The sequence below is a fragment of the Homo sapiens genome, chromosome 2, assembly GCF_000001405.40.
Source record: "Homo sapiens chromosome 2, GRCh38.p14 Primary Assembly".
NCBI lineage: Eukaryota > Metazoa > Chordata > Mammalia > Primates > Hominidae > Homo > Homo sapiens.
In genome coordinates this window covers 61,670,659-61,682,540 of record NC_000002.12, presented here as the reverse complement: position 1 = coordinate 61,682,540, position 11,882 = coordinate 61,670,659, and the positions used below count along the sequence as shown (strand labels likewise).

Below are 11,882 nucleotides of genomic sequence, written 5' to 3'. Positions count from 1 at the left end.
GCTACTCTGGAGGCCAAGGCTGGAAAATCACTTGAATCCAGGAGGTGGAGGTTGCAGTGAGCTGAGATCACACCATTGCACTCCAGCCTGGGCAACAAGAGTGAAACTCTGTCTCAAAAAAAAAAAAGAAAAGAAAAAAAAGGAAACAAAGTCTCACTATGTTGCCCAGTCTGGAACTCCTGGGCTCTAGTGGTGTTCCTGCCTCAGCCTCCCAAGCAGCTGAGACTACAGGTGTGCACCACCAAGCCCAGCAAAAGTTTAATTTTTTTAAAGAATCTAAAATTTGCTATCTAGATAAGTGAGAGAAGCTGACAATATGATATCACTATTGTTAAAAAAAAAATAGTAACTGCAACTGTCTGGCCCTCAAAGGTCTCATTTCCTAATACCAGCACCTTAGGGGTTAGGATTCAACATATGAATTTGGGGGGTTGGAGACACAAATATTCAGATGATAGCACCCACCTTTCCTCCAACCTTATCTCCTACTAGGCACCCCTGGTATATTGAGCTGCATTCTGGCTTCCTTTTTTTTTTCATACCTGAAGCACATTCACATCTCAGAGTCTTTGTACCTGTGGTTCCCTCTGTCCAGAACAACCCTCCCCTACATATCTGTGAAGTTTCCTCTTGCTTTCAGGTTTTTAATAAAATGTGATGGCTTCTGAGAAACCTGGTTGCCTAGCCACCCTATCTAAAGTAGCAGCGCTACCACTCTCTAGCCCTTGACTCTTTTTCTACAAAGCATCTACCACCGCTATTACATATCTATTTGCTCATTATCTGTCTCCTTCTCTAGAACATAGGTTCCATGAGGGCAGGACTTTGTTTACTGCTCAATCCCCAGAGCCTAGGTCAGCATTTGGAGCATAGAAAATGATCAATAGCCCAGGCATGGTGGCTCATGCCTGCAATCTCAGCACTTTGGGAGGCCGCAGGCAGATTACCTGAGGTCAGGAGTTTGAGACCAGCCTGCCCAACATGGTGGAACCCCGTCTCTACTAAAAGTACAAAAAAATTAGCTAGGCATGGTGGTGTGTGCCTGTAATCCCAACTCCTCAGGAGGCTGGGGCAGGAGAATTGCTTGAACCCAGGAGACGGAGATTGCAGTGAGCCAAGATCACGCCACTGCTCTCTAGCCTGGGTGACAGAGCAGGACTCCATCTCAAAAAAAAAAAAAAGAAAGAAAGAAAAGAAAAAAAGAAAATGATCAATAAACATTTGGCAAATGAATGAATTCAGATAGTAAGGGAAATGAAACATTATATTTGCCACAGAGATTGCCAAACAGAAAGATAGTAGTGAGAAGAACATGAAAGAAAAGTCATACTGATATTCATTGAATGCCTCAAAGTAAGCCGGCTCAGTATCAGAGGTCACATTCCTGTTTTACTGAAGATCAGGAATTAACATACAAACAGTGATAATATATTGAATAGAAGTCAGACAATGTGCAGAAGATATTTTGTGAGACAAAGTATCTGTGTTCATATTTAATCAATATTCCTATAGTATTAAAAATGGAGGCTGGGCACGGTGGCTCATGCCTGTAATCCCAGCACTTTGGGAGGCTGAGGCAGATGGATCACGAGGTCAAGAGTTCGAGACCAGTCTGGGAAACATAGTGAAACCCCGTATTGACTAACAATACAAAAAATTAGCTGTGTGTGGTGGTATGCACCTGTAGTCCCAGCTACTCGGGAGGCTGAGGCAGGAGAATCACGTGAACCCAGGAGGCAGAGGTTGCAGTGAGCCGAGATGACGCCGCTGCACCTTCAGCCTGGGCAACCGAAGTGAAACTGTCTCAAAAAACAAGCAAACAAACAAACAAACAAACAAAAAAGGAGAGGTATAGGGAGAAAGCTCATTTGGGAATTTTGTAATATTTAAGACAATTTTGGGTGATGTTTATGGCTATAGTTTGAGATGAGCTTTGGTCACATTTTTCTGAGAAGCTTTGATTCCTTAGTAAAAATTATGAAAGCAAGCCTGTCCTGATTTAGCCAAAGTAACATCAGTTTCCTGAAGCAACAGGTAGCTGCCCACTTCATACCAGCATAACCTACTTTCAGACTAATTTCTAGACCAGTGGGTGGTATTAAGGCCCTGTTGCTGGCGATTTGGGGATTTAGGATATTTATGACTATTTCTGATACCACATTCCTGCTCAGAACGATGAGACTACCTCACAGCCTTGAATTTCATGTCTGATCAAACAGTGCATGTCACAGAACCTGTGTCCAGTACATCCAGAACCAATCTGGCCCAGCCCAGTTTAGGAGTGTCGATGATCCAGGCAGGTCAGCAGCATCTCTGTTTGGAAAGAGGAATTTGGCCTGCCCTGACTGTGTCATTCTCCTCTTCTAACCTTTAGCAGTCCATTACTGATGGGTAAAGTTCCCATTCGTCCATCCACAGGCTTGATGGTACCTACTGTACCTTTATTTGTTATAATTCAGTGGTGAAGCCATCTGGGCCCAGGATTTTCTTGGTGATTGGCTTTTTTTATTATTAATTAAATGTATTTACTTGTTATGACCTATTCAAATTGTTTATTTCTTCTTGAGTTAATTTTTGTTAGCTTGTATCTTTCTATGAATAAATTATCTAATTTGTTGGTACATAATTGTTTATAGGATTTCTCCTCATCATTTATTGCCCCACTAAATCAAGTGTTCCTAAATATGACCCCTGCTTTCCTGCCCTTTCACTTTTGTACCTGGAATCCCTTCAACTTAGTCTGTACTTATTGAAGTGTATTGAATACCTACTAGAACCAAAATATTCTTTGGAGTTCTCTAGGGAATATATGAACAAATAGATATAGTAAGGTCTTGGCTCTCAAAGAGCTTATTGTCTAGCATAGTGTCTTCTGAAGTGTGTTCTTCAGAAGTCCTGCAAAATACAACTCAAAAATAAGGTTCTATGATCAAAGACATGAGGGAACATGGTACCATATATCATTTCTTCTGTAGGTGGTTCATAATTCTCACGAGCATGTTTATTACTCTAAGAAGTTCTGCCATAGAGAAGCTCAGAGTTTCCCAAAAGAATGTGATCACCAAACCCGTTTGTTATATAGCATCTATTAACAATCTAAAGAACTTCTGTTCAATGGAAAATACTTCAGGAAACCATGGACTAGATAAAACACACAACCGAGTAGCTACAGTGCAAGTCAAATGTCCTGAGAGCTAGTCCTGTAGCCCTAATAGGTCCATTGCTCAATGTGCACCGAAAGTCAACACACCGAGACACAGTGTTGCAGCAGAGACAGGTGTTTACTTGTAGCGCTGTCTAACAAGGAAACAGGACAAAACCTCAAATCTATCTTCCTGAGGAGTCTGAGGCTAGGAATTTTAAGGGCTTTTGAGTGGGCTGAAGTGTGGAGATTGTTGATTGGCTGACAAGTGCAGGGAAAGTCATGGGAGAGAAAGATGAGGAAATGATATTCTAATGCCGATTTGTTTTTTCTGTGGGGGGGTCTTTAAACTGATTGGCATCAGCTGGTCTACTGGAATTCAGGATTCACTTACGCAATTCTTAAATAAAATCTTACGATTCTAACATCAGAGATCTTATCTAACTTCAGAAATCCTGTCTATAGGAACAGTGGGAATGCAAACAGTATCTAGTGTCATCCGTGTCTAGAGACTCACTTACAAGGAAGTCAGTCAAAGTGCAGGCTGATTAGTGCTTAATAATAACTATATTTCTGTCCAGAATTCTTGTTAACCCTGTGAGCATGGCTTCGGTCCTTGAAACATGAGTAGGAAGATGGGGGAAACAAATGAAGGAAAGGCAGAGAAGGAAACATAAATAAAGCATCCAGGGAATAGAAAGAAGAGCAGAAGAGGTGGAGACAAGAGTTAAAGAAGCTAAAGGAAAAGAGAGTGGGTCAACACAAAGAGACCAAGAAATGACTCTTGGATTTAATGATCTTGAAGTCAGCATCAACCTTCAGAATAAAAATTCCAGGAAAATGGTGGAAGTACATAAAAGGAAATAAGGAGTAAGTAGAACAGTATGTGAATTCCAAGAAAGCAGAGATTGTTGCCTCTTTTATTTGCTGGTGCTCCCCAAACCCTAGAACCATAACTAGTGTTAAAAGAAAAACCTTCAACACTTAAATTTAACAGAATTTAATTGAGCAAAGAACAATTCATGAATTGGGAAGCCCCCAAACCAGAACAGGTTCAGAGAGGGTTTGGTGCTACTGCTTGGACAAAGAAGTTTTATGGACAGAAAAAGAAAGGTCAGGTACAGATGAGGTGCAAAAACAGATTGGTTACAGCTTGGCATTTGCCCTATTTGAACCCAGTTTGAACAGCTGGCCACCTTTGATTAGCCAACACTTGGTGATTGGCACCAGAGTAGGTTATGTAATCACTTGATGGATTCTCCCTGCCCATCACACAGGCAAAACCAGTTCACTGAGGCCATGTATTGCAGTAGAGAAAGAGTTTAATTAATGCCAGGCCAGCCACATGGCAGATAGAGTTACTACTCAAATCAGTCTCCACAAAGGCTTGGAGATTAGGGTTTTTCAAGGATAGGTTGGTGGGCAAAGGACTAGGGAATGGGTGCTGCTGACTGGTTAGGAATGCAATCACAGGGTTGTGGAAAAGAGTCCTTGTGTGCCGAGTCCACCTCAGGGTAGGGGGCCACAGGACCAGCTGGGTCAACAGTCACAAGTCTGGGTGGGGTCAGTCAGTTGCCATAATGCAAAAGTCTGAAATACATCTCAAAAGACCAATCTTAGGTTCACAATAGTGATGTTATCTCTAGAAGCAACTGGGGAAGTCACACTCCAGCCTAAGCAACAGAGTAAGACCCTATCTCAAACATAAATAAGTAAATAAATATACTAAATTATTCCCATGGTTAGCTTGCCGTATGTCCAGGAATGAGCAGACATAGCCAGCCTGAGGATAGAAGCAAGATCAAGTCAGCCATGTCAGATTTCTCTGTCATAATCTTTGCAAAGACAGTTTCAGTTATGGTCTGTTTACACATCCAGTTAGATTACAGTTCACTATGTACAGAGAAACCTTTAATGTATGTAAATATGGCTGAGTGTGCCAGCTCATGCCTATAATCCCAGCATTTTGGGAGGCTGAGGTGGGTGGATCCCTTGAGCCCAGGAATGTGAGACCAGCCTGGGCAACATGGCAAAACCCCATCTCTACAAAAAATTAGCCAGGTGCAGTGGCATGCACCTGTGGTCCTAGCTACCTGGGAGGCCGAGGTGGGAGGATTACCTGAGCCTGGGAGGTCAAAACTGCAGTAAGCCATGTTGCCGCTACTGTACTCCAGCCTGGGTGACAGAGTGAGACCCTGTTTCAAAAAATAAATAAAATAAAATATGTAAAGAGACAGCTTTAGGCTAAACTTAATTTAACACTAGCACATCGAAAGCTCTCCATAAATATTCATAAATAAGTGGATGAATTAATGTATGATGAGTGGTGGTTTAAAAAAAGTGAGGTAGGGGCCAGGCACAGTGGCTCACGCCTGTAATCCCAGCATTTTGGGAGGCAGAGGCAGGCAGATCACGAGGTCAGCAGATCCAGACCATCCTGGCTAACACAGTGAAACACCATCTCTACTAAAAATACAAAAAATTAGCCAGGCATGGTGGCGGGCGCCTGTAGTCCCAGCTACTTGGGAGGCTGAGGCAGGAGAATGGCGTGAACCCAGGATGCGGAGCTTGCAGTGAGCCAAGATTGTGCCACTGCACTCCAGCCTGGGCCACAGAGCGAGACTCCATCTCAAAAAAAAAAAAAAAAAGTGAGGCAATGGAGGTAATAAAGAAAAGACTACAATAATAGTGTAGTTGAGGAAAGGGGCAACTTGAACACACTTCCAGGCAGAGGACTCCGGTGGAAAAGTATACATCAGAGATGCAAAATAAGGAAACTGATGGGACACTATCATAATTAAAGCAAGAGGAAATGAGAACAACATCACAAGCAGTAGGATAGGAGAAGGTAGGTCTCATTATGGGTTCCATATTTCCATTAACTATATCAAAATTCACTCAACTGGCCAGGTGCAGTGGCTCACGCCTGTAATCCCAACACTTTGGGAGGCCGAGGCAGGCGGATCACGAGGTCAGGAGATCAAGACCATCCTGGCTAACACGGTGAAACCTCATCTCTACTAAAAATACAAAAAATTAGCCAGGCATGGTGGCAGGCACCTGAGGTTCCAGCTACTCGGGAGGCTGAGGCAGGAGAATGGCTGAACCTGGGAGGTGGAGCTTGCAGTGAGCCAAGATCGTGCCACTGCACTCCAGCCTGGGTGACAGAGCAAGACTCCATCTCAAAAAAAAAAAAAAAAAAAAAACACTCAACCACCCAAGCTAGTAGAAATAAAAATTATTGGAAGCCATTGTTTTGGACTAAGCTCCTGTACTAGGCCCCAACAGACAAGGCTAAAAAAAATGGAGTCACCCATGCTAAAGTTCTAAGTCATCAAACCCACACTAAGTTTTTATCTCACCTTCCTAGAAGGCAGGAGAAAGAGATAACAGCCAATTTCCTCGAACAGGCCAGTTTCAATCTTCAATCCACATGATAATGAAGTTCCCTCTGCTTTAATCCTTATACAAAAGAAATAGCCTGATGTAATCTGACATTAATAAGCTGTTTTTCTGTTGTTTTAGCCTCCTGTTCCCACCTTATAAGAAGAGTTGCTTTGAAATAACTAATATTCTGTGTTCTTTGCTTCTGCTCTCTTCCGCTTTCTTCAGCCTTTCTCTGTCTATAAAGCCAATCTCTTCTGCTCAGCTTATCATGCATGCTACTAAAACGCCAAGGGTTTGGTCTAGGTGCTGCTGCTTGGTGCACAGACAGCCAATCATTGAGGCATTGAGTATTGCCAGGGAAGAAGGCTTTGAATCAAGTCCTGCATCTGAGGAGATGGGAGATCAGTCTTCAATCCATCTCCCTGACCAACTAAAATCAGAGGTTTCTGTAGCAGGGAAGAAATGTAACTATATGCAAAACACAGGAATTAGGCAGAGGTAAGGAAAATAAGTTGGTCAACAGGAAGCAGGTTGTCATTTAGGCAATCATGATGGGTAAAAAGTCTTGAGTCTCTTTGTCCAGATGCAATGATCTGGTAACTTTCAGCTCCTTGGTACTATATGGGAGGCCTGATGGTTGGTTTCCTGAGAAAGGAACTCAGATAAGACAAATGTAACTTTCTCAAGTTTTAAGACTGTGAGTGTCAGTTTCTATGTTTATTCAAAAGAAATCATAAACATCAGTTTTATGGGACAATTAGGCCAGTTTCAATCCAAACACCTACTATATTTTATGGAATAAAATATTGCCTGATTCTAGAATCTCAAACAAAGCCAACTGAGATCTTTAAATTTGTAATTTTGTTCCTTGATGCTAGAAACCCCAGTCTTCTTTAACACATCTTTGACTTTCATCCTCTTGCCTGCTTAAATGGGCACCAAGCTTTCTCAATTCCACACCTCTCATGCTCCATAGCCATTCCCATTTTTTATCCCCATGGCACTACCCTAAGTAAGGCACTTGCCATTTCTTTCCTGAAAAAATTTAATGATTTTCTGACTATGGTATGATAGATTAAATTTAACTAAAGCTTCTTAAGTATTTTAAGTTTGGCCAAAAGCTTACACCATACAGTGAACTTAAACCTAACTAGATGTGTAAATAGACTGTAAACTACACTTGTAACAAAGAGCTGAGTCTCAACCAATCACAGAACCATACTTCAGCCAATCACAGGTGGCCAGCTGTTCAAACAGCGCTCAAGTAAGACAACCATCAGGGCTATAACCAATCCAGCTGTTTCTGTACCTCACTTCCATTTTCTGTGTCACATTCCTCTTTCTGTCCATAAATCCCGTCAGAACACGTGGCACCCCAGAAGTCTCTCTAAACCTATCATAGTTGGGGGTGGGATGTGCTGCCCAATTTGTGAATCATTTTTTGCTCAATTATACTCTATTAAATTGACTTTGCCTAAAGTTTTTCTTTCAACATTAAACCATGAATTCAATGGTTTTCTGTTCTCAGCCCTTTCTCTATACTGTCATCAGCACAGTGGTCTAAAACACAGACGTGATCATGCCATTTTTTTCTTCAAAAGCGCAGCAATAGATCATTCCTTGATTTATTGAGAGCTTCCTATGTGCTAGCTGCTGGGGATGCACTGGTGAGTTATGATAAAGGGAACATTTCAAACTAGGGGCAAAGAAATCAAATGGTCATCACAAAATGAAAAGATGCTCAATGTTATTTTTCTCCCATGAGATTGGCAAAGATTTTTCTTTTTTGAGACAGCCTTGCTCTGTCGCCCAGACTGGAGTGCAATGATGTGATCTCAGCTCATTGCAACCTCCATCTCCCAGATTCAAGCGATTCTCCTGCCTTAGCCTCCTGAGTAGTTGGGACTATGGGCGTGAGCCACCATGCCCAGCTAATTTTTGTATTTTTAGTATAGATGGGGTTTCACTATGTTGGTCAGGCTGGTCTTGAACACCTGACCTCAGGTGATCCACCCGCCTCGGCCTCCCAAAGTGCTGGGAGTACAGGCATGAGCCACTGCACCTGGCCAGCAAAGATTTAAAAGAATGAAAATATCCAATGTTGGCAAATATGTGGGAAAACAAGCAACCTCATCCACTATTGGTGAGGGTATTAATAGATACAAACTTTTTAGAGGGAAATGTAGCAATAATTATTAAAATTCCAAGGCCAGGCACAGTGGCTCACGCCTGTAATCCCAGCACTTTGGGAGGCTGAGGCAGGCAGATCACTTGAAGCCAGGAGTTAGAGACCAGCCTGGCCAACATGGCAAAACCCCATCTCTACAAAAAATACAAAAATTAGCTGGGTGTGGTGGTATGTGCCTGTAGGCCCAGCTACTTGGGAGGATGAGATGGGAGAATGGCTTGAGCCCAGGAGGTAGAGGTTGCAGTGAGCCAATATAGGGGCACTGCACTCCAGCCTCAATGACAGAACCAGGCTTTGACTCAAAAAATAAAATAAAATAAAATAAATTTTAGTAATACTCATTTGCCCTAACAATGGTTATCTCTGGAATTGTGGAATTCATTATATATATATATATATATATATACACACACACACGTGTATATATATATATATATATGTGTACACGTATATATATATATACATGTATATACATATATATTTATATATATATATATAATGTGTGTATATATATATATATATATATACACATTTTTTTTTGAGACAGTCTCACTCTGTCATCCAGGCAGGGGTGCAGTGGCGCAATCTCAGCTCACTGTAACCCCCGCCTCCCAGGCTCAAGCAATTCTTGTGCCTCAGCCTCCCAAGTAGCTGGGATTATAGGTGTGTGCCACCATGCCCGGCTAATTTTTGTATTTTTTGTAAGTTCAAGCAATTCTCCTGCCTCAGCCTCCCGAGTAGCTGGGTTTACAGGCGCCTGCCACCATGCCTGGCTAATTTTTGTATTTTTAGTAGAGACAGAGTTTCCCCATGTTGGCCAGGCTGGTCTTGAACTCCTGACCTCAGCCTCCCAAAGTGCTAGGATTACAGGCATGAGCCACTGCGCCGGGCCTGGAATTATTATATAAAAAACTTTTTTATATTCCTAGAAATCTGTAAGGCAAAAATAAAAAATAAAGACAGAAAAAGAAAAAAAAACTAACTTTTTACTTCTCCGAGTATTTTTCACTACTTTTCATAGTATTTAAATGTTTATGTTTATGATTATTCTTATCATCATTATTATTATTATTATTTTGAGACGGAGTCTCACTCTGTCGCCCATTCTGGAGTGCAGTGGCAAGATCTCGTCTCACTGCAACCTCTGCCTCCCAGGCTCAAGTTAGTCTCCTGCCTCAGCCTCCCGAGTAGCTGGGATTACAGGTGTGTGCCACCATGTCTGGCTAATTTTTTTGCATTTTTGGTAGAGATGGGGTTTCGCTATGTTGCCCAGGCTGGTCTTGAACTCCTGGCCTCAAATGATCTGCCCGCCTCGGCCTCCCAAAGTGCTGGGATTGCAGGCATGAGCCACTGCACCCAGCCTTATTTATTTTTCAATTTAAAAAATGATACAAAAATGTCATCAAGAAAATTTTTTTTCTTTAATGGATTCATGCTTTTTAGGACAACATTCAAGGCTCTTCAAAATGAGCCCCTAGCCCCACAATTTCACCTCTACCATTCCCATCCACCCTTCCCTCACCCAGAATTATCCTAGGTGATGCTTTTCGTTCTATTTCACTCCCTCCACCATTCCTCTCACTGGAATGTCTTCCCTCCTCCTGTATTAATCAAAATAATACTCATCTTCCCGGGAAGCCCAGGCATGACTTCCCTTTCTCTGGGATGCTTGTGCTCCCATCTGAATTAAATTGTCCCTCCTTGGTGCTGAGGCGGTAGTTTGTTTACACCTCTAGCAGAGCACAGTTTGGCTTGCACTATTGTCACTTGTGTCTAGTGTCTCCCTTGCCAGCATTTATTCTCCACTTTCCTTGCCTCTTCTGTGAAATAAATGTTCATTTCAAAATATTTATTCAGAGCATTGCATGTTCCATACATAAATCCACGCTTAAATTATTCAGCTCCTGGAGATACACAGCTCAGCCATGTGGGCAATTACTTCAAGTCACAAAATGCTATTTTGTATTAATTTGTATTTGAAGAGAGTGCAGGAATGCATTAAACATGTCTATAGCTGTCTGGTGTTTATTCACTGACAATGAGCCGGAATTATTACTTCACTTTAAGCCTTTCTCTGGTGATTTGTTTACAGAGAGTTGTGCTAAATAGCTGAATTGTTGTCATGACCCTTTGCCTAGATCTTTTCAAAACAGTCATTAGATTTGTGTTTTACATAACACATACACACACAAAATCTCATAACCAGGAGGAAAACTGAAAACAATTTAGAATTTTAAACTTCAGCATGAGTTAAGATTAGGTTTACGGTAATGGGGATAGCCCATGATTTTGTAACTCAACAATAATATAATTTTTGCCACTTGAAAGTACTAAGTTTCTGTGGTTGCCAAAAGTAAACTGTGACAGTGTGTAGAATGAACTAATAACTGTAAATGAACTTGATCAGTAGGGCTCCTCCCGGTAAATCAAATAATTAGTCAATTTTTGCTGTGTTGGAGACTACAGTTTCAGGTCCCCAAGTGGGAGTAGCTCTTAAAGCAAAAGTGGCAGCGCATTATCATTTGTAAATTTCCACTAACAAGCAAGCCTGACTGTGTCTTTTGGCAGCCAGGGCTGTGACCTTTCTAACAGCCCAGTGTTTGTCATTGTTTTGTTTATGAGCATCTATATATGCCAGGGAAGATCTGGGGAGAGAGATTCAGAAAAAGAAAACTGAAACTAAGAAGGAAATCAAAAGCAAAAAGCCAGAAACTACTTCTTTAGCCTTTTCTTTATGATCTTAGGACTTCAGGGACCTTGAAAGATTGATTTCCTTTCACTCAAGTTTCTCATAAAATTAGCTTTGGCTCATACATCTGTTACACAGTAGTTAATTTTACAAGATAAGCAGTACAGGGGAAATGTATCTGAGGGAAAAATCGAGTGCTGGAAGCTCAAGAGACACTTATAAGGTCACAGAACAAAGCTAGTAAGTAAAATGGTCCTACTATAGACCTGCAAATAGCAAAGGGTCTGCCTTGGGTTAATTTCAGTATATCTTTCATGACATTTCACTTTTCTTCTCCAGCAGCATTAAATATAAGTGGGCTTTACTGAACCTGTTCTGAGAGAGCCTTTTGAATTGCTCAGCCAAAGAGCAATCATGATTCAAGTTCATGAAATGTGAACTTTGTATTTTAGCATCCACTTCCCTGTAATGATCTC

At 41.5% G+C, this 11,882-nt stretch overlaps 1 annotated feature.

The window, feature by feature from the left end:
* Window positions 11,308-11,547: an enhancer, noted in NCBI's record as "active region_15834". NCBI's record gives its function as "activates an Ori minimal core promoter by ATAC-STARR-seq in GM12878 lymphoblastoid cells {active_cell/tissue: GM12878}" and the evidence as "EXISTENCE:reporter gene assay evidence [ECO:0000049][PMID:35858748]".